The following is a 25,694-nucleotide window of genomic DNA, read 5'->3' as shown; positions in this document are numbered from 1 at the left end:
CTAGACCTGGTCACCTTGTGGGTCACCTTGTGTGAACGGACCTGAGTGGGTGGCCTGGGGTTGTGCGTGCTGTGGGTGCTGGTTGGCATCTGGTAGGTGAGTGCACAGCGTGTGGCTCCTGGCTGCATCCTCAGTGGGTGTGCGTGCATCTGTGTATACTCTTAGGATACAGGGGCCTCAGGAGTTTAAAGATCAAAATGTGGCCGGGCACAGTGGCTCATGCCTGTAATCCCAGCACTTGGGGAGGGCGAGGCAGGTGGATAACAAGGTCAGAAGTTCGAGACCAGTCTGACCAACATGGTGAAACCCGTCTCTCCTAAAAATACAAAAATTAGCCAGGCATGGTGATGCGCACCTGTAGTCCCAGCTACTCACTAGGCTGAGGCAAGAGAATCACTTGAACCCAGGAGGTGGAGGTTACAGTGAGTGGAGATTTTACCATTGCACTCCAGCCTGGGCAACAGGGCAAGACTGTGTCTCGAAAAAAAAAAAAAGATGAAAATGTGAGGCTGTTTGGAGTTTGTTCCTTTGCCTTGTAAACAGCCCACAGCTGCTTTGCGTGCACACGTTCCAGGGCCATCCTCAGAAATGCTTCTGGAATAACCAAGTTCTAGCTGGGGCTCAGCTGGAAAAGCTGAAGTCACACTTAAGTATTTTGAACAGTGAGGATTGAATACAGGGAATGGATTGTGTAGGCGTCAGAGGCTGAAGGGGCACAGAGGGCCTGAGATGGGAACCAGTGAGGGCAGCTGCAGGAGATGCCCCGGCTCGGGCTTGGGAGCAGAAGAGGAGGTGGTACCGAGAGAACCTGAGCATTCAGAAAAGGGTTCCATGGCTGGTGCTGGGAGCCGAGGAGGGAGTGCCTGCCACCAGCTCTGCTGGCTCCAGGAGTGTGTGCCGTGCTCTCCAGGAGGGTGATCTGGCCGGTGGGCAGCCTGGCCTCTCTCCTCCCTGTGGCTACAGCCCTGGCCCAACACCTCCCGCAGGCATCATCGACCTGTCCCAAGTGCCACACCTGCCTGTGCTCGTGCCCCCGACACCAGGCACCCCAGCCACCGCCATGGACCGCCTTGCCTACCTCCCCACCGCGCCCCAGCCCTTCAGCAGCCGCCACAGCAGCTCCCCACTCTCCCCAGGTAGCGCCACTGCCCAGTCTGGGGTGGGGACCCCGGCATCCATGGGAGGCGGCTGGGGGATGGGCGGGCAGAAGCCCTGCTCTCTTTCCCACCCCAGAAGACAAAGCCAGGCTCTTCTTCGGCCCTGGGGCTGAGTCTCTGGCCTTTGGGTTTCCTAGGAGGTCCAACACACTTGACAAAACCAACCACCACGTCCTCGTCCGAGCGGGAGCGAGACCGGGATCGAGAGCGGGACCGGGATCGGGAGCGGGAAAAGTCCATCCTCACGTCCACCACGACGGTGGAGCACGCACCCATCTGGAGACCTGGTAGGGCATCAGAGCCCCCACCCCCCGCTCCGGGACTCCTTGTGGGCCGCAAGAGGCCTCCCCCTGCTGATGCCACTGACTGTCACCAGGTACAGAGCAGAGCAGCGGCAGCAGCGGCGGGGGTGGGGGCAGCAGCAGCCGCCCCGCCTCCCACTCCCATGCCCACCAGCACTCGCCCATCTCCCCTCGGACCCAGGATGCCCTCCAGCAGAGACCCAGTGTGCTTCACAACACAGGCATGAAGGGTATCATCACCGCTGTGGAGCCCAGCACGCCCACGGTCCTGAGGTGGGCCAGGTTGGCATGGGGGAGGGGGCGGGCAGGTGGATGGGTGGTCAGTAGGAGGATGAGCAGATAAGAGGATGCTTGGTGGGAGGTATATGGGAGGTGGGTGGGTGGGCAGATGTGTGGGGGTAGAAGAATAGACTATGTGTGAGTAGTGGATGGGTGGGTGGTCGGGTTAGGTGGGTGTGTGGGTCAGTGGGAAGTTAGGTTAGCTGCGTGGGTGGATGGATGGATGGATGGGGGGGTGGTCGGGTTAGGTGGGTGGGTGGGTCAGTGGAAAGATAGATGGCTGGGTTAGCTGGTTGGATGGGTGGATGATCAGGTTTGGTAGGTAGGTGGGTGGGTGGAAGGATAGATGGCCGGGTTAGCCAGATAGGTGGTTGGGTTAGGTGGGTAGGTGGGTCAGTGGGAGGATAGATGGTTAGGTTAGCTGGGTGGGTGGATGGATGGATGGGTGGGTGATAGGGTTAGGTAGGTAGGTGGGTGGGTGAGAGGATAGATAGCTGGGTTAGCTGGGTGGATGGATGGGTGGGTGGTCACGTTAGGTAGGTAAGTAGATGGGCAAAAGGATAGATGGCCAAGTTAGCTGTGTGGGTGGGTGGGTGGTAGGTAGGTAGGTAGGTAGGTAGGTAGGTAGGTAGGTGGCTAAGAGGATAAATGACTGAGTTAGCCAGATGGATGGATGGATGGATGGATGGATGGATGGATGGGCAGGTGGTTGGGTTAGGTAGGTAGGTGGGTGGGTGAGAGGATAGATGACTGGCTTAGCTGGGTGGGTGGGTGGGTGGGTGGTAGGTAGATCGGGTTAGGTAGGTAGATGGGTGGGTAAGAGGATAGATGGCTGGGTTAACTGGGTGGATGGATGGATGGGTGGGTGGGTGGTTGGGTTAAGTAGGTAGGTAGGTGGGAGGAAGGATAGATGGCCAGATTAGCCATGTGGATGGATGGATGGGTGGGTGGCTGAGTTAGGTAGGTAGGTGGGTGGGTGAGAGTATAGACGCTGGCTTAGCTGGGTGGGTGGATGGGTGGGTGGTAGGGTTAGGGAGGTAGGTGGGTGGGTGAGAGTATAGATGGCTGGGTTAGCTGGGTGGGTGGGTGGATGGGTGGGTGGTAGGGTTAGGTGGATGATGGAATGGATGGTTGGATGAGTAATTGTGGGGATGAGTGGATGGAGGCCCCAGTGGATGGACGATGAGTTGGGCGGTGGGATGAGTAGATGGGGAGGTTGTTTGGTTTGAGAATAGAATCTGTGGAGAGGGAGAGACTGAATGGGGACTGTGAGGAAAGACTTTCCCGGTCCCCCACATTTAGCAAGGCCAGCAAGGAAAAGAGGTGTCCCTCTTGCCTGGACAAAGTCCCAAGTTTCTCTGAGATGGGAGAGGCCCCTGAGTGCCCTCTGGTGACACACACTCCAGAGACTGTGGGCAGAGCTGCTTCACCAGGGGGGTGGGGTCACACCTCAACACCCTTCCCTGCCCGGAACCTTTTTTTTTTTTTTTTTTTGATGGAGTTGTACTCTGTCGCCCAGGCTGGAGTGCAGTGGTACGATCTCTGCTTACTGCAACCTCCACCTCCTGGGTTCAAGTGATTCTCCTGCCTCAGCCTCCCAAGTAGCTGCAGTTACAGGCACGTGCAACCACACCCGGCTAATTTTTATATTTTTAGTAGAAATGCGGTTTCACCACGTTGGCCAGGCTGGTCTCAAACTTCTGACCTCAAGTGATCTGCCTGCCTCAGCCTCCCAAAGTGCCGGGATTACAGGCGTGCGCCACCGCACTCAGCCTCCAGGACCTATTTAGAGGCAACTTACTCCTCCAAAATGAATTTTCATTCAAAAAAGTACTTGTGCCCCAACTTGCCGCTTGGATGCCTGAAGTCATACCTCCCCTAATCATTATTTCAATTATGAAAAATGGCATCGTTTCCCAAAAGCAGTGGCGACTTTGTCACCCCTGACTCAGACCCAGCAGGTGCATGAAGCACTAATCCCTGGCTGTGGGGAGCAGGGTTCCGCACACAGGCTCTGTGGGATATGCCCGTGACAGCCGATTCAAAAATATAATGGAGAAAACGAGTGCCTGCCCACTGCCCGCTCATGAATGAGGCTCTGGGAGGTAGAGTTAGCGAGAGATGGGGGTGCCCCCATGGAAACGCAGGGCTCCGGGAAGGCCACGTGGGTGGAGCAGCCGGCTCCTGTTCCAGCCCCAGCCCTGTGCAGGGGCAGCTGTGCCCCAGCTTCTCACTCACAGAGCTGGGAACAGCAGCTTTCTCTGTTCTCAACGCCCACCCTGGCCGCCCCCTGGCATCCTTCCCCTTGCTCTCTCACTCCTCACGTGGCTTTTTTAGCTCTTCGGGTATCCTGAGCAGGCCCAGCTCCCTCATGTGCCCCCTCCCTGAAGACCTCCTAGCCCTGCCTCAGCTTCCTTGCCGTTCTCTCCTGGTACCTCATTGACTACCTCCACACAGTTACCAGGCTCTGTAGAGCTTGGGATATCTGTTAATGTGATCGTAGTCTGTTTTCTGAATTAGATGGTAAGATGCTTGCATCCGTTTTATGACCGCTGTATTCACAGTGTCTAGAACAGTGCCTGGCACCTAGTAGCTGCTTAATCAGAAGTTTTGGAATGATGCAAGGAATGAATGAACGAATGAGTGGGATGGGTCAAACCATGACGCACAGAGTCTGGCAGGTTACAGTCAGGAGGGCAGTTTCACTCTGGGAGCAGCAGGGGATGTGGATTTATCCCAGGGCAATGGGGACTCATCGAGGGTGGTGGAGGAAGAGGGCAGCTCCCATGACTGCCTGACCGCCTTCTCTCCTCCCCCAGGTCCACCTCCACCTCCTCACCCGTTCGCCCGGCTGCCACATTCCCACCTGCCACCCACTGCCCACTGGGCGGCACCCTCGATGGGGTCTACCCTACCCTCATGGAGCCCGTCTTGCTGCCCAAGGAGGCCCCCCGGGTCGCCCGGCCAGAGCGGCCCCGAGCAGACACCGGCCATGCCTTCCTCGCCAAGCCCCCAGCCCGCTCCGGGCTGGAGCCCGCCTCCTCCCCCAGCAAGGGCTCGGAGCCCCGGCCCCTAGTGCCTCCTGTCTCTGGCCACGCCACCATCGCCCGCACCCCTGCGAAGAACCTCGCACCTCACCACGCCAGCCCGGACCCGCCGGCGCCACCTGCCTCGGCCTCGGACCCGCACCGGGAAAAGACTCAAAGTAAACCCTTTTCCATCCAGGAACTGGAACTCCGTTCTCTGGGTAAGACCACCCTGACAGCGGCCACCTTCATAGACGCGATTATCATGCGTCAAATTGCTCACGATAAAGGGGCGCGAGAAGGAGGTGCGCTGGCCAACGGCTCCCCTCGCGATGGTAAGACTTCCGGCCCGCACCCACCCCGTCTCGTGGTCCAAAGATATTTTCAGATCTCTGCTTTTTACTTTGGCCCCCGTTTTTTTTGTTGTTGGTTTTGGTATTTTGTTTTGAAGCCCATCCGTCCTCGCCGGTTTGCACGCGCTGACGACTACTCCGGCCGCGCCTGCCCCTCTGGTTTGGGGGCGCTCATCATTTGCACATCATTTTACCATGGTTTTTTTTTTTTGGATTTTTGCTTTTTTTTCTTTAATGAATGGATCTGTGATTCTGACTTCGACTGCGCCCCCATCTCCCTCTTTGCGCCTGTGTCCAGGGAGCAGGGATGGGGCTGCGGGAGGGCTCGGGCCTACGCCCCCACCTGCCGGCTGCCTGGATGCTGTCGGACTGGGGGAAGTGGAGGCAGGCGGTGCAAGGAGAAGCTGAGGCGGGGCAGGGACCTGCGCTGTCGAGGAGGAGCTGGGTCTGGCTCTTGCATCTTGCCCTGTCCCCAGCCCCTGTACCCCAGAAAAAGGGGAGCCCTCTGCCTCTGGACCCCTGCCTTGGCCCTAGTTCATGGCTCCTCTCTGTTGGACTGGGATGGCCGAGGCTATAGCCCAGGCGGGGCCCCGGGGACCCAGGGTCACTCCCAGCCACACCCCCACTTCTCACTCCGCCCCACACACTCCTTCCCCAGAGACCCATGCTGCCCCCATCTCACGCTGGCCTCGCCCGGCCTCCACCACCTGAACCCATCTCTGTCCCTTCTTGCCTAATCTCTCTCTGTGTCTCCCTCTCTGTCTGTCTCTGTCCCGGGCTCTGCATCTCTCTCCACCTCTCCCTTGGCCTCCCTGTCTCTCCCCAACACCCCTCTCTGCCTTACTGTCTTTGGGAGCCCAAACCCTACCCCTAGCTTGGGTTCCCCTTGACCCCCCCGGGGTCCCAGCCAGCTGGGAGGGCAGCCCTGCCCCTCGGGCTCCGAAACCCTGGGCCCGGTGCCTGACTCTGCACCCCCCGCCTGCCCTAGGTTACCACGGCAGCAGCTACAGCCCCGAAGGGGTGGAGCCCGTCAGCCCTGTGAGCTCACCCAGTCTGACCCACGACAAGGGGCTCCCCAAGCACCTGGAAGAGCTCGACAAGAGCCACCTGGAGGGGGAGCTGCGGCCCAAGCAGCCAGGTACGCCCCACCCAGTACCCAGGCCCCCGAAGCCCTGCACAGTGAGGACCCTCAAGGCCCCATCATGCAGATAGGAAAACAGAGGTGCCTAAAGGCCAAGGAATTGGCTGGATCATGAGGCTCAAAGGCATGGGGCTGGGATTTGGGCCCAGCAGCCCTGGGGCCAGCAGACACCCCCTGACCAGCTCTGCTCTGCCTGCAGGCCCCGTGAAGCTTGGCGGGGAGGCCGCCCACCTCCCACACCTGCGGCCGCTGCCTGAGAGCCAGCCCTCGTCCAGCCCGCTGCTCCAGACCGCCCCAGGGGTCAAAGGTCACCAGCGGGTGGTCACCCTGGCCCAGCACATCAGTGTAACTACGCGTTCTCTGCTGCTGCTTGTCACCTTTGCACCTGGGGGCACCAGGCCTGGAGAGGGGATGGGGAACCCCACAGCCCTTCTGTCCTGGCGGGGTGGCTGGGGGATCCAGGGCATGGCGCTGGGGGGATCCAGGGCGTGGGTGAGGGTGAGATCCCAAAGCCCCGAGCACCGGCACCATCACCGCCCCCTAATCCATGGGAGGAGCCTGTGATGCGAGCCGATGGCATCTTCACGGGCAATGAGGCCTTCCTGGTGGCCCAGGTTTCTCAGTGTCATGGGCTGGTCTCATCAGCCATCTGCCAACTACCAGCTTGGGACCGCTGACCACAGCCCCACTCCCATGCACACTGGGACACGGAGGCCCAGAGGGTGGCGGGCAGGTCCACAGTCACCCAGGAAGCTGGCCCCACCCAGGATTCTGCCCCGAGCTCCGTCTAGCCCCTCCCCACCCCCAGAAGGTTCTGTCAGGAGAGTGCTGCCTGACTCTGGGCCCCCCCACTTGCCTGCAGGAGGTCATCACACAGGACTACACCCGGCACCACCCACAGCAGCTCAGCGCACCCCTGCCCGCCCCCCTCTACTCCTTCCCTGGGGCCAGCTGCCCCGTCCTGGACCTCCGCCGCCCACCCAGTGACCTCTACCTCCCGCCCCCGGACCATGGTGCCCCGGCCCGTGGCTCCCCCCACAGCGAAGGGGGCAAGAGGTGAGCGAGGGATGGGGGTGCCTCTTGCTGGTCAGCCGGCGGGAGGCCTTCGTCAGCTGCCTGCCTCAGAGCTGGGTCTGAGCTCAGCTGCATATGAGGCCCGCCTGGTGCCATTGCACAGGCAAGAAATGGAGGCTCCAGGAGATGGGGGAGTCACAGAGCGGATACATAACGAATAATAGCTGATGAAAGTACATGCTGTGCTCAGTGGGTTCCAGGCACTCACGTGTACCCTTTACACACAGCCCCCCAGGAGACATAGGCAGCATTCTCCCCATTTCACAGATGAAGAAACTAAGGCCTGGAGAAGTGAATTCACTTGCCCACAGGGGCACAGTCAGTAGGTGACAGAGGGGGATTTGTTCCAGGGCTGTATGATTAGAGAGCAGCCTTTCCACACATGCACACCCACACACATGCGCACACACACACATGCACACCCGCACACATGCGCACCCGCACACACACACGTGCACACCCACACACATGCGCGCGCACACACATGCACACCCGCACACATGCGCGCGCACACACACATGCACACCCGCACACATGCGCACACACACATGCACACCCGCACACAGGCGCACCCGCACACCCCTGTAGACACAGGCACATGCACATGCTCACGCACACTCCCACTCCCACCCCCGCCCCCACCCCCACCCTGGTGAACCGTGGGGCCTCTGGGGGTCAAAAGAGAAAGAGAGGGGAGGGCCCTGAGCTCCAGGGTGAAGGAGGCGTTTTGGTGGGGGCGGGGGGGGTAATGTGTGTGCGAGGACAGACATGGCAAGACAGCAGGACATCTTTGGGGGGCAGTGGTGTAGCTGGCACTGGGGTACAACCAGAATTCAGAGCAGGGGTCAATAAACTGTGGCCCATGGGCCAGATCTAGCCCGGGCCCTCTGTTTGTACAATTCATGAACTAAAAAAATGATTTTACATTTTTAAAGGGTTGTTTAAAAAAAAAATAAAAATGATAACGATACATGCCAGAGATTACTTGTGGTCGAAAATGCCTAAAACGTTTATGATTTGGCCACGTACAGGAAAAGCGTGTGGGGCCCTGGTTTAGAGTGGAGGGAGGGTGCGCCCCCTCAGTAGGGAGACCTCTGACCACATCTGGGGCCCTTTCTCCATCCAGGTCTCCAGAGCCAAACAAGACGTCGGTCTTGGGTGGTGGTGAGGACGGTATTGAACCTGTGTCCCCACCGGAGGGCATGACGGAGCCAGGGCACTCCCGGAGTGCTGTGTACCCGCTGCTGTACCGGGATGGGGAACAGACGGAGCCCAGGTACTTCTGTGGGCACATGCGCTGCCCCCGGGATGCTCTGGTATCCCTTGCCCATCCTTGGCCCCAGTCCACCGTGGTGCCATGTGGAGAGTGACAAGGGCACAGGGCTCAGCTGGGTGACCTCAAGCCTGCCAAGCAGGTTTCACCAACTTGGGGGTGTGATACATGCCCACCCTCCCTGGGGAGACCTCAGTGGTAGCTTTCCATGCTTTGGGCTGGGATCTCAGCTGGACCAGGCCCCCGTTGACAGCCCCTGTTGAACCTCTAAGAAATAATGAGCTAGGTGTGCTGGGCCAGACCGGGGGCGATGGGTGAGGTGGGACCTGAGAAGGAAGCTGGGCCCGCTGCCCCTGGGGAAGGGCATGATCGGAACCCAATTTCAGTCCTTGGGGCTCTCTTGAGAGGGTCAGGCTGGAGCAAGTGGTCAGAGGCAGCCCACCACGCAGCCAGGCGTCTCCCAAGACACCCCTAGCCCCAGGACGGGTGAACCGCAGAGGAGATTTCAGGAGCCGTGATCTTCTACCAGGCAGGGGATGCAGGCGTGGGGGCGGGTGAAGCTTGCTTCCAAATGTCTAAGGCATCTCAGGTGGTGAGTTCCCCATCATCAAAGGCATGCAAGCTCGGCACCAAGTGAGCTGATGTGAGGTGTTTGATCCTCACAGCAGGATGGGCTCCAAGTCTCCAGGCAACACCAGCCAGCCGCCAGCCTTCTTCAGCAAGCTGACCGAGAGCAACTCCGCCATGGTCAAGTCCAAGAAGCAAGAGATCAACAAGAAGCTGAACACCCACAACCGGAATGAGCCTGAATACAGTAAGGGGCCTGCAGGCTCCCGGGGAAGCATGGGGCCACAGGTGGGCGGGTGGCCTGCCTGGGCAGCTGGAGCCGCCCAGTGGCAGAAACCCACGGTGCACCTTCGAAAGCTAAGTGGCCCTGCTGACCACCTCCCCCCAGGCCCTTTGCCTCACATTTGGGGAGCCCCAGGGCAGTTTCTTGATTTGCTGGGCTTTCCATAGGAGCTTACTGGCACAGAAGAATAGCACCCAGCACATAGTAGGTGCCCAGTGAATACCTGCATGAATACTGGGACCAGGGGTTGGATCCCTCCCACACAAGGGCCGGGCGCCTCCCACACTCAGCACCTGTGTGGCTTTGCACCCATTGACGTGGTTGCTGGGTATGAACGCCCCACTCTGCTTCCCAGTCCCTAGCACAGCGCCTGGCAGTTAGCAGATCCACCAGGGAATACGTGAGTGGGTGGGCAAATAAAGAATCTGTCACAGTCCCCGACCCCAAGAAGCCTCATCTGCCAGGGAAGTTTGGACAAATCACAGATGCTTTTCCCTTCCTGGGGCTGGAGTAGAAACCTTGCAGATAGTCACTGGCTTGCCGGGCACGGTGGCTCATGCCTATAGGCCCAGCACTTTGGGAGGATGAGGCAGGAGGATTGCTTGAAGCCAGGAGTTCGAGACCAGTCTGTGCAACATAGCAAGACCCCATCTCTACAAAAAACTTTAAAAACAGGCACACACCTATAGTCCAAGCTACTGGGGAGGCTGAGATAGGAGGATTTCTTGAGCCTCGGAGGTCAAGGCTGCAGTGAGCTATGATCACACCACTGCACTCCAGCCTGGACAACAGAGCAAGACACTGTCTTAAAAAAAAAAAAAATCTCTGACCCAGGCTGGTAACTCCAGGGCCCTGTAAGTGCAGTCCAGGGAACCGTAGCATCAGCATCCCCAGGGTACTGGTTAGAAATGCAGGCCCTTGGCCAGGCGCGGTGGCTTACGCCTGTAATCCCAGCACTTTGGGAGGTCAAGGCGGGTGGATCATATGAGGTCAGGAGTTTGAGACCAGCCTGACCAACATGGTGAAACCCCGTCTCTACTAAAAATACAAAAATTAGCCAGGCGTGGTGGCGGATGTCTGTAACCCCAGCTACTCGGGAGGCTGAGGCAGGAGAATCACTTGAACCTGGGAGGCGGAGGTTGCAGGGAGCCGAGATTGCACAACTGCACTCCAGCCTGGGCAACAGAGCGAGACTCTATCTCAAAAAAAAAAAAAAAAAGAAATGCAGACGCTTGGCCCTGTCCCAGGCCTGCTGCATGAGAACCTGCAATGCACAAGTTTCCCCAGGTGATGCCAGCACACCTGGCCTGGACCACACGGGACTGGTAGGGCAGGTAATTCCCAGAGACCTGGGGGCCTCACCCACTCTGTCACCCGCTTCCAGATATCAGCCAGCCTGGGACGGAGATCTTCAATATGCCCGCCATCACCGGAACAGGTAACCCATCCAGCCCTTGCTATATGGCTGCCCTGGTCCCCTCCGCTCCCTCCCCACCCCTGCTCCAGCTGTCATGAAGGGACGAGGAGCCTTCGCTAGTCTGGGTGTACCCCCTCATTCTGGGATGAACTAACCGCACAGTAGGATTCAGAGTCACACAACAGGCAGGCGAGGCTTGTTCCCTGTGTAGACAGGATCCTCGCTGTGCAGGGAATCTCTGGAGTTAAGATCCCCTCGGGTGGTTAGTAAGTATCAGATGCACCCTCACCAGCTGGAAACTCACCTTGCTTCTTCGCCAGCCTCAGCTGGAGATGCACATGTCTGGACGAGGGGTGGGCCTGAGCTCAGAGCACAAGCCTCCGAGTTCACTCGGGCGTTTGTTATAGCTAGAGCTTCATTCCTTAAATCCAGCCAGGGAACTGGGAAGCCTTACTTTTTCTTTCAAGATCAAATACAGGTGTGTGGCAGAGATAGGTGTAAAATTGACACGCACTTTTAAGCTGAAACTTAAGACTTCTATGATCTTTTGGACTTAGGGGTCCCTTGAGGTTGGAGCCCCATCCTCTAGGAGGGCCCCATTGTGTATTTCCTTGGTGAGTCTGGGGTGTGGCCTCTGGGGGTCACTCTGCATGGGCAGGCCTGGCCCAGTGGGGCTGAGGCAGTTTTGGGGTCGGCTGCCTCTGTGTGGGTGCCTGGTTATCCTCTGGTCCTTTGGTGGAAGCTGAGGCCAGGATGGAGGTCGGAGAGGTTTGCTGATCTTCCCTGGGGAACATTCCTGGGCCTTGAGCCCTGGGAATGGTGAGCGAAGGATAGTCGTTCAGATATTATCAGGGGGTCAGCGAGGCCTCCAAATGGGAGTCCCAACTAGGACACCTCCACCTGCCCAGTGACTAGACACCGGGGGCATTGCCAAGCCTCAGGCAACGGGAAGAAGACAATTTGGTCGAAACAACAAGAGGGTTAGAAATGAATGTTCCTGGGATGTTCTAAATCTTGAAGTAGGTGCTAGACACACAGGTGTATCTGTGTGTAAAAACTCATGGCATGGTACAGTGAAGATTTATGCTAACACTTATATATAAATATTTTGTATTTATCTTTTTAAGACACGGTCTTTCTGTCACCTAGGCCAGAGTGCAGTGGTGCAATCACAGCTCACTGCAGCCTCCGCCTCCCAGGCTTAGATGATCCTCCTACCTCTCAGCCTCCTGAGCAGCTGGGACTACAGGCATGCGCCACTGCACCCGAGTAATTTTTTATCTTTTTTGTAGAGACAGGCTCTCAATATGTTACCCAGGCTAGTCTTGAACTCCTGTCCTCAAGCTGAGGATCCTCCCACCTCGACTGATTTTTGTTTTTTGTGTTTGTTTGTTTGTCTGTTTGTTTGACAGAGTCTTGCTCTGTCGCCCAGGCTGGAGTGCAGTGGTGCAATCTTGGCTCACTGCAGCCTCTGCCTCCCGGGTTTCAGCAGTTCTTCCACCTCAGCCTCCCAAGTAGCGGGATTACAGACACCCGCCACTACACCTGGCTAATTTTTGTATTTTTAGTAGAGACGGGGTTTCATCATATTGGCCAGGCTGATCTCGAACTCCTGACGTCAGATGATCCACCCACATTGGGCCTCCCAAAGTGCTGGGATTACAGGCGTGAGCAGTCACGCCCAGCCTGATTTTTTCTTTTTATGCAGTTTTAGTCCACAAGAAGAAATTTTCCAGGCTCCAGTCTTTGCCACTCAACCTGTGTCAGACTTCACCTTTATAAATGGAGATCGTTAAGCCTGGAGCCAGCTCCATCAGGTCACGGACTCGTGGCCTTGGGTAGAAGGCCCAGTCGCGCTGCTGTGATTTCAGCACTCACCCTTGTTGGAAATGTTGCTTTTTCTTCATGCACATGGCTGTTTTTTCAAAAGTGCTGCAGAAATGTGGCCAAGACAGCAGAAAAGGTGTGAGCATCCCTGGCTACAAACGTATTTGAAACCAAAAGGGAAAAGAAAACGCAGGCAGCCAGCAGTTGCTACAGAAACGTGATTTTCAAAGCATCTGCATCACCCGCAACCTCATGGAAGCCTCGGTTTGGTTTACAAAGGAGCGAGTGGTCGGAAAGACGATTTGACCACTTTGTATTCGTATGATTCATTCGGAGCAGAAGTTTAAAACTCCATGAAACACTTGCCCCGTGGTGGGCACGGTGGAATGGGGCTTCACTGGGGGCTTTTGAAAGCAAAGGCTGGTTTAACAAAAGTTCTGAAAAGACAGCACCTCTGGGGGGTGTGCAAAGGCCCCCACCTCCACGTGGTTCACAAGAAAGAAAAAAGGGAAAGGAAATGTGGTTAACAGAAAAGGAGGTTTCCCCGATTGTCAGGAGGTGTTCTGGAAGCATCCTCTTGGGACCGGTTTGTTGATTCGACCACTTTGTCCTTGGGACTGGGCAGCTGGGCCAGCTGGGGCCGGACCAGGGCTGGTCCCGTGATTGTGTCTACTTCTGCCCTGTCCCCTGCACGCACCGTAACTGCATGGCTATGACCCCGCCCTCAGCGTCCGTCTCTGCACCTCTTTCTCCTCATGGCTCCTGGGTGGGGAGAGGCAGAGGGAGGAGAGCAGGCCCAGCTTGGTGGGGAGGTACGGGGCTGCACGTCCCATCACACAGGTGGAGGTGGGGCAGCGGGAGGACCATCTGGTCACCTTCTCTCTCTCAGTCCCTTCCCCAGCCCCCAGCCAGCCCCCAGCTCTGGCTTGAGCCAATTTTCTAGCAGCCTGTTCCCCAAACAGGGTAGCCCTCCCATCTCCCACCCTCTCCATTAAGGCCACTTGAGATTTAAAAAAAAAACAAACAAAACAGCCCCAGCTAGGATTGGAGGTGCAGACGGGGCTTGTGATTTCCCAGAGGACAGAATAGGAATGAGAATAGGGGCTGGTGGGGGCATCTGACCTCCCCTACCCCACCTCCCTGGCAGTGCCCAAGAGCTTCCGGGGCCCCAGGTAGAAGGAACCAGCCTCTCCCCTTTTATCACCACCCAGCAGGAAAAAAAGGGTGGGGAGGGATAGGGAAATAAATATGTTGCTTTGCCGAAATGTGCTCACTGTGTATTTCTCTCTCCTCCTCCTCCTCCTCCTCCTTCCCTCTCTCTCTCCCTTCTCTCTCTCTGTCGCCCCTCTGGCTCCCCCTCCCCGGCCCCCATGTGTCTGTCTGTCTGTCTGTCTCTCTCTCCCAGGCCTTATGACCTATAGAAGCCAGGCGGTGCAGGAACATGCCAGCACCAACATGGGGCTGGAGGCCATAATTAGAAAGGCACTCATGGGTAAATATGACCAGTGGGAAGAGTCCCCGCCGCTCAGCGCCAATGCTTTTAACCCTCTGAATGCCAGTGCCAGCCTGCCCGCTGCTATGCCCATAACCGCTGCTGACGGACGGAGTGACCACACACTCACCTCGCCAGGTCTGCAGGCCACCCCCGCCCCGCCCCCGTCTGTCCCCACCCCCGGTGTGATTAATCCTCGCTCCTCCGCGCTCCTCTGACAACCCCCTCCTCGAGCTTTGGAGCTTGTGACTTTATTTTTGTGCGTGTTTGACCTCGTTCTGGAGTTTGCTAATCTGAAGCTGGGCTGACACCCCCCAAGTGTCTGTACCCTCTGCCCCCCAGCCCCGGCCCTCCTGCCCACTAGGCCCGAAGCGCTGCCGCCTCCCTCGGACACTCACACTGCTGTCCGCCCCCCAGTCCTCCCGCCTTCCTCCCTGCGGGGACCCGGCTTCTTGGCCCATCTGTCTCCTTGGGGGAGAGCAGGCTGGAGTGAAGCCCCACCCACACTGTGTGGACAGGGGAATGGCAGCCAGGCCTGTGCTCAGCATCTGCCAGGCCCACTATGTGTCCTCAGCTGCCCCTTAGCCTGGTGGGGAGGAGCCCAGGGTCTGTCTCAGCCCTGGGAGTCAGGGAGCCTTAGGGGTCAGCCTGGTTCCCCATCAATACCCTCTGTATCGGGGCAGGGAGCTGAGGAGAGAGTTGCAGTTGTCCAACCTGGACACTGAGGCCCCAAGAAGCTTCTGGAGCCTCTGTGGGGGTCAGGCCTGGCCTCAGGGGTCCTGACTTCTCTGCACGGGGCCTGGATCCTGCCTAGCCTTAGCATGGTCCTGGGGCCACGCTCAAACTGGAAGCCCAGCTTCATGCTTAGGGTTCCAGCCCCTGGGGCTGGGGTCGCTGCAGGACAGCCCAGGGGGCTATTGCAAACAGCAGACAGTTTAGCCACCTCCCCCTGCCCAGCAGAAACTATCTCCACCCTCCAGGCTCATGGCTGGCCATCTGGTCAACCCTGGCTTCCCAGCTGGGGCGGGCAGCAGGGAGGAGGGGTTCACGTTACTGCTCTCCCTCCCTCTTTGGAGGGCCCATGGCAGGACCTCACCCTGCCCCTGTGGCCCCACCGTAGCGTCGGTGCTGTCTTCACTGCCCAACGCAGCCCCTTCCCATCTTGTCCCCCTGCAGGTGGCGGCGGGAAGGCCAAGGTCTCTGGCAGACCCAGCAGCCGAAAAGCCAAGTCCCCGGCCCCGGGCCTGGCATCTGGGGACCGGCCACCCTCTGTCTCCTCAGTGCACTCGGAGGGAGACTGCAACCGCCGGACGCCGCTCACCAACCGCGTGTGGGAGGACAGGCCCTCGTCCGCAGGTGGGCACCAGGTGGGGACAGGGCTGGGCTCGCTGAGCCCCCAACACTGGGCTGTGAATGCTGCCGGGGCACTGAATGCTGAGCGCCTGCTGCATGCAGAGCTCAGACTCGGGCCTGTTCTGTGGAAACGCTGTCCAGGGGCCTGGGCAGCTGAGCCTGGCTCACGAACCATCAGGATGCTTCTGCCAGGGGCACAGGCAGAGGAAAAGGGTGTGGTTGGGGCCGGCCAGATCACATGGGCCTGGTGGACCATCCAGGGGAGCCTGGACTTCCTTTGATGGGTAGTGAGGAGGCGTGGAGGGCTTTCGGAAGGGAAATGCTCATCTAACATAGGGTCAGAAGGCCCCTGGGAGAATAGACCAGAGGGACGGTGAATAGGCTACTGCTATAGTCCAGGCAAAAGACAGCGGCAGGGTGTGAACAGGGACGGAAGTAGAACAGGTGAAGAGAGGCAGACGGTTCTGAGACCTGTTCGCAATTAGAAAGGTCTGGGAGGACTGTTGGACAGAAACGCTGAGGCCTCTGTTCCCGGTGTGGTGGGCAGGCGGCCAGCAGGGGCTGCCGGGCTCACAGAGGCCTCCTGGGCATCTTTCGCTTCTTCCCGCAGGTTCCACGCCATTCCCCTACAACCCCCTGATCATGCGGCTGCAGGCGGGTGTCATGGCTTCCCCACCCCCACCGGGCCTCCCCGCGGGCAGCGGGCCCCTCGCTGGCCCCCACCACGCCTGGGACGAGGAGCCCAAGCCACTGCTCTGCTCGCAGTACGAGACACTCTCCGACAGCGAGTGACTCAGAACAGGGCGGGGGGGGGGGCGGTGTCAGGTCCCAGCGAGCCACAGGAACGGCCCTGCAGGAGCAGGGCGGCTGCCGACTCCCCCAACCAAGGAAGGAGCCCCTGAGTCCGCCTGCGCCTCCATCCATCTGTCCGTCCAGAGCCGGCATCCTTGCCTGTCTAAAGCCTTAACTAAGACTCCCGCCCCGGGCTGGCCCTGTGCAGACCTTACTCAGGGGATGTTTACCTGGTGCTCGGGAAGGGAGGGGAAGGGGCCGGGGAGGGGGCACGGCAGGCGTGTGGCAGCCACACGCAGGCGGCCAGGGCGGCCAGGGACCCAAAGCAGGATGACCACGCACCTCCACGCCACTGCCTCCCCCGAATGCATTTGGAACCAAAGTCTAAACTGAGCTCGCAGCCCCCGCGCCCTCCCTCCGCCTCCCATCCCGCTTAGCGCTCTGGACAGATGGACGCAGGCCCTGTCCAGCCCCCAGTGCGCTCGTTCCGGTCCCCACAGACTGCCCCAGCCAACGAGATTGCTGGAAACCAAGTCAGGCCAGGTGGGCGGACAAAAGGGCCAGGTGCGGCCTGGGGGGAACGGATGCTCCGAGGACTGGACTGTTTTTTTCACACATCGTTGCCGCAGCGGTGGGAAGGAAAGGCAGATGTAAATGATGTGTTGGTTTACAGGGTATATTTTTGATACCTTCAATGAATTAATTCAGATGTTTTACGCAAGGAAGGACTTACCCAGTATTACTGCTGCTGTGCTTTTGATCTCTGCTTACCGTTCAAGAGGCGTGTGCAGGCCGACAGTCGGTGACCCCATCACTCGCAGGACCAAGGGGGCGGGGACTGCTGGCTCACGCCCCGCTGTGTCCTCCCTCCCTCCCTTCCTTGGGCAGAATGAATTCGATGCGTATTCTGTGGCCGCCATCTGCGCAGGGTGGTGGTATTCTGTCATTTACACACGTCGTTCTAATTAAAAAGCGAATTATACTCCAGTTACAAAGGTTTCTTCTCTACCTCAGACTGGGCAGCCAATAGGGCAGGCGTTTAGGGGACAGTGGGAGTATACCCCTGGAGGGCCAAGGCCACATCCGCCTGAGTCACCAGGGAGTGGATCCTTTTGCAAGTTGAATATTTATACCCTTGGTAAGGACATCACCATGAGGACATCAAATAGTCACATCTGTGGTGAAGGTCTCAAGTGTTCACACCCATGGTAAGAGTGTGTCAGATGTTCACATGGGTTCACACCCATGTGTCAGGTATTCACATGATGGTCAGGGTGTCATGTTCACACTCATGGTGAGAGGGTGTCAGGTATTCACACCCATGTATCAGGTATTCACACCATGCTGAGGGTGTCAAGTAGTCACACCCATGGTAAGAGTGTCAGATGTTCATACTCATGGTGTTAGGTATTCACACCATGGCGAGGGTGTCAGATGTTCACACATGGTGTCAGGTGTTCACACCATGGTGAGGGTGTCATGTTCACACTCATGGTGTCAGGTATTCACACCATAGTGAGGGTGTCAGATGTTCACACATGGTGAGAGGGTGCCAGGTATTCATTCCCATGTGTCAGGTGTTCACACCGTGGTGAGGGTGTCAAGTGGTCACACCATGGTGAGAGGGTGTCAGATGTTCACACCCATGTGTCAGGTATTCACACCATGGCGAGGGTGTCAAGTCACACCCATGGTGAAGGTGTCAGATGTTCACACATATTGAGAGGGTGTCAGGTATTCACACTCATGGTGAGGATGTTAGGTGTTCACACTCATGGCAAGAGTATCAAATATACACAGGGTGAGGGTGTTGGGTATTCACACCCATGTGTCAGGTGTTCACACTCATGGTGAGGATGTTAGGGGTTCACACTCATGGCAAGAGTATCATATACACAGGGTGAGGGTGTTGGGTATTCACACCCATGTGTCAGGTGTTCACACTCATGGTGAGGATGTTAGGGGTTCACACTCATGGCAAGAGTATCACATATACACAGGGTGAGGGTGTTGGGTATTCACACCCATGTGTCAGGTGTTCACACTCATGGTGAGGATGTTAGGTGTTCACACTCATGGCAAGAGTATCACATATACACAGGGTGAGGGTGTTGGGTATTCACACCCATGTGTCAGGTGTTCACACTCATGGTGAGGATGTTAGGTGTTCACACTCATGGCAAGAGTATCACATATACACAGGGTGAGGGTGTTGGGTATTCACACCCATGTGTCAGGTATTCACACTCGTGAGGATGTTAGGTGTTCACACTCATGGCAAGAGTGTCACATATACACAGGGTGAGGGTGTTGGGTATTAACACCCATGTGTCAGGTGTTCACACTCATGGTGAGGATGTTAGGTGTTCACACTCATGGCAAGAGAATCACATATACACAGGGTGAGGGTGTTGGGTATTCACACCCATAGTGAAGGTGTCTAGTATTCACACCCGTGGAGTCCAGAATGGCCATCACTTCCTAATTGTAGTATTCTAATGTCATCCCTGCCCATAGAGATCATGACCGGGGATGTCCTGGTGTGTTTTGAATACAGGCAGGAGAGAGAGCAACTCCTGCCAGCTTGTTCAGGTGCCTCTTGGGTTCAAGTCTACCACATCTTGGGTGTGCCCTGTCTTGTGTCCGCAGCATCCCTTCTGGAGCAGAGTGGAACCTGGGAATGGCCACAGTTCTTCACTATTGACCCAGTCACCCTCGGCCTTGTCCCTTGGTGCCAGTGGCCTGGCCCTCCCCCTCATTTACCTGCCCTTTCCGTATGCTGCCACAGCAGCACGGCTGCCCCTCCACACTCCCCCAAAGCCTGACACCCCACCTGGTGCCCGGTCCCGTGTGCAGTGTCAGTCCCCAGAGCCAGATTGGGTGGCTGAGCTGGAAGAGCGTGAGAGAGACTTCATATGCCCACTGGCCCCCAGGTATAGCTACAGGCGCCCTGGCATGGGGAGTGCACTGGGGCCCCCTGTGGTGCCACTGCCTGCTTCCCTAGAGAGAGGAAGCCCACCCTTGCCCTGGAGCTTCCCCTGCTGGTCCAGAGTGTCTTGAAGCCTCCTGGTAGGGTTTCCATCTGGACAGCCCCATCACAACCTCTTAGCCATCCTATGTCCCCAAGCCCATGGGGACAGCGCTGGCCTGAGTGTGGCCGCTGAGGCCTGCCCCCATCCTAGAGCAGAGGTCAGAGAACCTTTCCTCTTGGCAGAGCCATGAGGTCAGCTCTGCCCCAATAGCATTCCTGGAGCCACTGTGGAGTGAAGACCCCCAGTCTGTGTCCCACTCCACCCAAGACCCACCAGACATGTAGACAGTTGGCAGCCAGGAAACGCCTGCCCTGCAAAAGCTGAGTCTTGCTGGGTGGGTTCCCAGGGTGGCCCCAGCTTCCCAGGCCCCTAAAAGCTTTCGGAGTACAAAGGGGGTGGGAGGTGGGTCCTCTGCCCCTCATGGGCGCAAGATAATCTGCAAAGCAGGGCATGCTCTTTTTGTTCTTCCTTCAGAAGTGCGTCTGAGTCATGCTAAGCGTGGGGATACCCAGGGTCCTGGAATTCTGCCTGTCCCCATCTCTCAGCCTTCATGCCCAGGCAGTCTGGGATGCTGACCTCAGTTCACCCAGAAAGAGGCAGTCCCAAATCCCCAAAGAGGGCCCACCCTGGCCCAGCTACTGGTAAGCAGGGACAAAGGGGTGGTGCCAACACAGATGGAATTCATCCTTGGGGGCTCTGATGGGGATTTGCCAGCAAGGATAGCCAAGGCTGGGGGTCCCTGGCCCTGTGCTGGTGTCTGACCAGCCTCACATCCAGCACTGCAGAAACCAGCCCCACAGGACTGGGGGGCAATGAAAGGGAGAACCATGGTCTGCTGGAAGCAGAAATTGCCACCTTCTGCCCTGACCTTCCCAGGGGACCCAAAGCCTCCAGGGCCCAGGCTTGCCCAGGGTCCTGCCTCCCCTGGAGTGGGGACCAGGGAGGAGGGGCATCCTCAGGGGCTCTGCCCAGCCTCACTGGCTCTCGGTGTCCCACCCTGATTACTGTGCCCAGGTTAAAAATAAGCAGAAGCCTTGGGCCCATGCAGGACCTGGATTCCAGCTTGGTGACTGTGATCTGTGTGAACTTGGGGATGCTTTGGGTGCCCTCTGGGCCTTGGTTTCTCATCTGTGCGCTGGGCTTTCATGCGTCCCAACAGGGCTGAGCCTGGTGCTGGGCTGTAGTTCTGAGGCCGGCAGGCAGATGGCAGTGTGGGGCCGGCAAAGGGCACTGTCCCAGGCAGGCCTGCCCTCCACCCAGGGCACAGAGTGGCCCCTACCCAGAATCCAGGATGGGTTGGGGTGTTGGTCATGCCAGCCGCCAGGGGTTACCCACTCACATCGGTGAGGCCCAAGATCCCACAGCACCTTGTTGAGCCACCAGTTAGACCAGAGAGATGGGAGTGGATCACAGGGCTCAGCCCTCACGGTCATCACCATCAGCCCCTGTCTCTGTGCCTCTGAATTGGTACCACTCAGCACCATGGCGTATCTTCTCTGAGGACCAGGGACTTAGACCCAACCCAGGCGGTTGTTTGCAGGTGCATGGAAAGCTCGCAGCCTCCTGCCCTCAGAGGGTCCACTCTGTCTCCCAGCTACAGCCAGTTGGTCCTCAGCCTTCAAAGAGGTCATCCTACCTACCCCCAAAGAGGTCATCCCACCTACCCCCAAAGAGGTCATCCCACCTACCCCCAAAGAAAGAGGTCATCCCACCTACCCCCAAAGAAAGAGGTCATCCCACCTACCCCCAAAGAAAGAGGTCATCCCACCTACCCCCAAAGAAAGAGGTCATCCCACCTACCCCCAAAGAAAGAGGTCATCCCACCTACCCCTAAAGAAAGAGGCCATCCCACCTACCCCTAAAGAAAGAGATCATCCCACCTACCCCCAAAGAAAGAGGTCATCCCACCTACCCCTAAAGAAAGAGGTCATCCCACCTGCCCCCAAAGAGGTCATCCCACCTACCCCTAAAGAGGTCATCCCACTTACCCCTAAAGAAAGAGGTCATCCCACCTACCCCTAAAGAAAGAAAGAGGTCATCCCACCTACCCCTAAAGAAAGAGGTCATCCCACCTACCCCTAAAGAAAGAGGTCATCCCACCTACCCCTAAAGAAAGAGGTCATCCCACCTACCCCTAAAGAAAGAGGTCATCCCACCTACCCTTAAAGAAAGAGGTCATCCCACCCGCCCCCAAAGAAAGAGGTCATCCCACCTGCCCCCAAAGATGTCATCCCACCTACCCCCAAAGAAAGAGGTCATCCCACCTGCCCCTAAAGAAAGAGGTCATCCCACCCACCCCCAAAGAAAGAGGTCATCCCACCTCCCCCCAAAGAAAGAGGTCATCCCACCCGCCCCCAAAGAAAGAGGTCATCCCACCCGCCCCCAAAGAAAGATGTCATCCCACCCCTGTCTTATGTGGCTTTTTCACTGCTGCATCTTTAAAATGAAGACTCATGCTGTTCCCCTGACCCCCATCTCCCTGGAAAACCCCTATACACACTTCAAAACCCAGCTGGGGCATTACTTCCTTGAAGAGCACACTGCCCTGGCCTATCTTCTCTCCCCTCTGGGTCTCTGATAACACAGTGCAATCCTTGTCTCAAACCCGACGGAACCCTCGAGGGGCAGAGCTCTTGTCTTTCTCCTCCTGACCCTGCCTTTGGCTCTGAACCTCCCTGGCAAGTGTGTTGTGAAGTGACGCTGCGAGTGTCTAGTTCTCAAAAGAAAGCTAGAAAGAGCTCTGTAAAGGACAGTTGGTGGCAAATGTCACCATGTCTTAGGACATCGAGAAGTTGGTTAAATGCAGATTCCTGGGTCCACCTAGACAGTCTGATGATGCTCTAGGTCCAGGGTGGGGCCCAGGAATCTGTGTTTTCAACAAGCAGCCCAGGGGTTTCTGGTGGGGGTGGTTGACGACCCTCACCATGATGGCAGGGGCGGTGCCCAAGGTTGGAGCTAGGCCTTCACCTGGAACCTGGCTCCTTCGCTTCCATCTGATCAGGAGGTCTCCAGTAAGTGCACAAAAGTCTCTGTAGAAGGAGACCTGGCCACCAGCCCCAAGAGCTGCTGCCCCACAGGGCAGCAAAGGACTGGTCCCAAAGACCCTGGGGTTGGCTCCAGACAAGCTTTCCTGGGATGACACAGATAAACTGGAGCAGTCAGGGTGGCTTCCTGAAGGAGGCAGGTCTAGGGAAGGGAATAGGCTGAGAGGAGAAAACCTGTGTGGGCAAAGGCTAGGAGGTGAGGCCCAACCAAGGACCCTCGGGAGCCCACGACCATGGGCTGGACGTGAGTCCCTGTGGGGGCCCAGGAGTGTCTGGGGTGGTGAGCCGTTGCTTAATAAGGTAACTTGCCGGTTTTCTGAAATCAGGGCAGTTTTGTCTCGCAAGGGTGCTGATGGATTGTGAGGGAGAATTAGACCTGGGAGGCCAGTGTGGGACCAGGATAAGGGGCTGGCACAGTGGAGAGGCCAGGACACAGCCCCCTTGCCCTGGGGAGGGGATCGGGGACAGACACCATGGCGTGAGGGGGCAGGGGGCTCGGGGATCAGCACGATGCAAAGGCATGTCACGGCCAGCTGCCTGGTCCTGGCCCCGTCATTCGACCCCACCACGGCTCAGTTTCCGTGTCTGTCGAATGGGGTGGTGGTATTGCTATAGGGAGTGACTGCTTCCTAAAAGCTATTGGGTTTTTTTGGTTTGGTTTGTTTGTTTGTTTTTTTACATAGCCGCTGTTTGCTCACCTGTATGGGAATCAGATAGTGGCCAGAGGCAAAGGACAAAGGCAGAGGTGGGGAGGGAGGAGAAGCTGCAGGAGGTCGGCAGCAGTGGCTCATTTGCAAATCTGGGGAGCTGGCGCTGGTGGAAGGGTTCTCTGGCCATTCCGTCCTTGAGAGGCTAAGGAGGGCCATCAAAGAAAATTCAGTCGTTTACAGATTCTTTAGAAAGCCGAGAGGGCTCAGCGGTCTGCAAGCCACCAGCTGTCCTCACAGGGACACTTCCTCTGGAGGGAGGCCGGGGGCACACGCTTCGTTCGCAGGATTCTCCTCACCTCTTGCAGGGCCGTCGTGAAGATGAAACAGATTAAATACACGACATGCTCCTAGCAGGGCCAGGCACAGTGTGGGTGCTACGCAGGCCCTGGTTTTCATTCCCATTCTGGCAGGAAGAGATGGGACCAGTGTCAAGTTCAGTGGACTTGCAGGGAAAGAGCACCGTGTACAGGGCAAGGAAGGGGGCTGCCGAATCTGATTTTAGGTCTGGGAGGTAGAGACCTTCCGCTCATTTTGCAGATGCTTAGGGAAGTGAAGTGACCTGTTCCTTTTCCAGCGACGAGGCCCATCCTTTGTCAGTTTCCCCTCCCCAGGGCCTGGTGGGTGACAGTTGCCCCTCTGAGGGCATCACCGGGGTCTTGCATGGCACATTGAATCTTGCACATCTGGTGTGCCTGGGCTGGGGGGAGATGGGGAAAGGCGCTATAGCCAGCAGCACGTGAAGGCTGGGCAGTTGAGGACAGCAGCCAGTCTCTGTTTCAGGGATGGAAGTCCCCAAGGGCTAGGATCAGACAGAACCGATGCCTCTTTCTGCCTGTCTCCAGGTCTTTTGGGTTCCCCTAGGACAGACGAGCTGCTTTAAGGGAAAAGCAGGTGCACTTGGGGGCCTTAGATTGGTTGCCCTTGCCCTCTCCTTCCGCCTTGTGCCTGGCTGGGCTTCCCTGGGCCCCTGCATGACCAGCAGGCAGGCTGGGCCTCCAGCATCATCAGCAAAGGCGACAACCATTTGTGTGGTAGAGCCACTGCAGGAGGTCCACAAATTGCAGGCTCTCAGAGGCGGGCGTGTTCTCCGGGTTCTCCAGGAAACGGGCTGAGATGGAGTTAGGAGGGTAAGAGGTTTTGCAGGGTAATGCCTGTGAAAGGGGAGTGAGGAACGGGACGGGACAGGAAGAGTCTGGCAGGCCACGCAGAGCTGACGATTTCAACGGACTCCACCTGAGCTCCAGCGCAAGACCGATCCCAGGGGAACCTCCATGTTTGTTGAATTCATTGGCACTATAATTGCAAGTGTCGGAAAGCCTTATCCATTTTCCCTTCGAGATGGTGAGAGATCAAGGTTGTGATTGAAAATCAGGCTTGTGGAGTTGAATTTGCATGGATTAAGGAAGGTGCAAAGAATGCCACCCCCAGCAGGCATCTGTAGGGAATCCCATGAGTAAAGCAGGGCTCGGGTCTTGAGGCGTGCTTCTGTCCGTGTAGACCAGTGGAGGCCTCAAGATTCGTCCTCGAGTTGATGTGAACCTGTGTTGGACTCAGCCTCTCTGGCTTCCATCCCCCCTTCCCTGTTAGGGGCCATCCTCCATCAAAGCAGGCAGCCGGTGGTTTAGAGTGTCCCGGATCTTGGGTTCAGATCCTGTCTCTGCCTCCTACCAGCTGCATCCTACCAGTGTGGGCAAATGACTTAACCTCTCTGTGCCTTACTTTCTCCTCTGTGAAGTGGAGATGCGGTTGCATCCATGTCAGCGGGTAGGGATGGCATGCAAGTTTTCATATGCAATGTTTCCTACAGAGCCTGAAATCCAATGAGTGCTCTGAATTAGCACGCATAGCATTCCCACTAGTGTTAGCTTAACCACTGCCAGACCAGGGTGTGGACCTCAAGAGGCTACCACCAGTCCTGACCATGGCACTCTTGTGACACATCCCCTCGGAAGACCTGTCCCCAGCAGCCTCTGGGGACACTCCCTTATCCCCTGCCCCCACCAACTCCAGAGCCTGGGAGCAAATTCTAGTCTGATTTTCCAGTCTGACTCACTGTCCCCTGGCTGCCGAGTGTTCCCTTTAACACACTCACTATCTCCATGGAGCCCCATGGGCCTCTCCAAGGGCGAGATGGAGAGAAACAGATTGTAAGGTGCGTCCCAGCCGCCTGCTCCGCAGTGGCAGCCAGGGCCCTTCTCCAGGGATGCTGTGGGTTGAGGGGCTTGCCAGAGCTGACGACCAGGATATGGAGCTGCAGATATGCACGCCATCCAAAGTGCAGATGCCCGGGCCCATCCAAGGAGCTGCCCCCCAGATCTGAGTCCCCAGGTAGGTCCCAGGCCTCTGCATTTATTAATTAGCTCTTGGGTGGAGCTGGCGTGTGGAGGTGGTGTACGCTTAGGCTGTCTACAGGGGTGGGGGCTGAGTCCTTCTTTGTTCCTTTGATCAGGGCCAAGGCCAGCTCCTTAGGGCACAAGCTCCGAGTGGAAAAAAAGTGATGGCCACACAGGAAAAGGGGCCTGGAGACCCATCTTCCCCTTCCCCAACCCCAGCGGGAGCTGAAGGTCTCACA

The 25,694-nt window shown here is 57.5% G+C and overlaps 1 protein-coding gene and 1 non-coding gene across 4 annotated transcripts in view, besides 5 other annotated features; both read left to right on the top strand.

Annotated features, from left to right (window-relative positions):
• The window catches only part of NCOR2 (nuclear receptor corepressor 2), a 243,198-nt gene extending 225,875 nt beyond the window's left edge, over positions 1-17,323 (top strand). For 2 of the 3 annotated variants that reach the window (NM_001206654.2, NM_006312.6), the window contains 13 exons: positions 987-1,136; positions 1,295-1,444; positions 1,534-1,732; positions 4,558-4,985; positions 6,106-6,255; positions 6,458-6,603; positions 7,121-7,314; positions 8,459-8,608; positions 9,271-9,419; positions 10,840-10,893; positions 14,105-14,329; positions 15,368-15,547; positions 16,155-17,323. In NM_001206654.2, coding sequence (NP_001193583.1) covers positions 987-1,136; positions 1,295-1,444; positions 1,534-1,732; positions 4,558-4,985; positions 6,106-6,255; positions 6,458-6,603; positions 7,121-7,314; positions 8,459-8,608; positions 9,271-9,419; positions 10,840-10,893; positions 14,105-14,329; positions 15,368-15,547; positions 16,155-16,336 — 2,357 coding nt within the window. In that variant the 3' untranslated portion in view covers positions 16,337-17,323. The remainder of the gene's footprint in view (positions 1-986; positions 1,137-1,294; positions 1,445-1,533; positions 1,733-4,557; positions 4,986-6,105; positions 6,256-6,457; positions 6,604-7,120; positions 7,315-8,458; positions 8,609-9,270; positions 9,420-10,839; positions 10,894-14,104; positions 14,330-15,367; positions 15,548-16,154) is intronic. The other variant, NM_001077261.4, reaches the window with a different exon arrangement.
• Positions 4,496-4,557, top strand: MIR6880 (microRNA 6880). The gene has a single exon (NR_106940.1). It is a non-coding gene; the product is annotated as a microRNA 6880 (primary transcript).
• Positions 5,104-5,284: a silencer, noted in NCBI's record as "fragment chr12:124821000-124821180 (GRCh37/hg19 assembly coordinates)". NCBI's record gives its function as "represses an EF-1alpha promoter that drives an FKBP-Casp9 reporter gene in an ReSE screen in K562 erythroleukemia cells {active_cell/tissue: K562}" and the evidence as "EXISTENCE:reporter gene assay evidence [ECO:0000049][PMID:32094911]".
• Positions 19,573-19,652: an enhancer, noted in NCBI's record as "active region_7283". NCBI's record gives its function as "activates an Ori minimal core promoter by ATAC-STARR-seq in GM12878 lymphoblastoid cells {active_cell/tissue: GM12878}" and the evidence as "EXISTENCE:reporter gene assay evidence [ECO:0000049][PMID:35858748]".
• Positions 20,160-20,269: an enhancer, noted in NCBI's record as "active region_7282". NCBI's record gives its function as "activates an Ori minimal core promoter by ATAC-STARR-seq in GM12878 lymphoblastoid cells {active_cell/tissue: GM12878}" and the evidence as "EXISTENCE:reporter gene assay evidence [ECO:0000049][PMID:35858748]".
• Positions 20,700-20,769: an enhancer, noted in NCBI's record as "active region_7281". NCBI's record gives its function as "activates an Ori minimal core promoter by ATAC-STARR-seq in GM12878 lymphoblastoid cells {active_cell/tissue: GM12878}" and the evidence as "EXISTENCE:reporter gene assay evidence [ECO:0000049][PMID:35858748]".
• Positions 24,020-24,619: an enhancer, noted in NCBI's record as "H3K4me1 hESC enhancer chr12:124801665-124802264 (GRCh37/hg19 assembly coordinates)". NCBI's record gives its function as "activates a minimal SCP1, AML or CMV promoter by ChIP-STARR-seq in naive H9 embryonic stem cells {active_cell/tissue: H9 hESC(naive)}" and the evidence as "EXISTENCE:reporter gene assay evidence [ECO:0000049][PMID:30033119]".

Source organism: Homo sapiens, chromosome 12, assembly GCF_000001405.40.
Source record: "Homo sapiens chromosome 12, GRCh38.p14 Primary Assembly".
Lineage (NCBI taxonomy): Eukaryota > Metazoa > Chordata > Mammalia > Primates > Hominidae > Homo > Homo sapiens.
The sequence above is the reverse complement of the archived record's forward strand: the minus strand, read 5'-3'. Positions and strand labels throughout refer to the sequence as shown.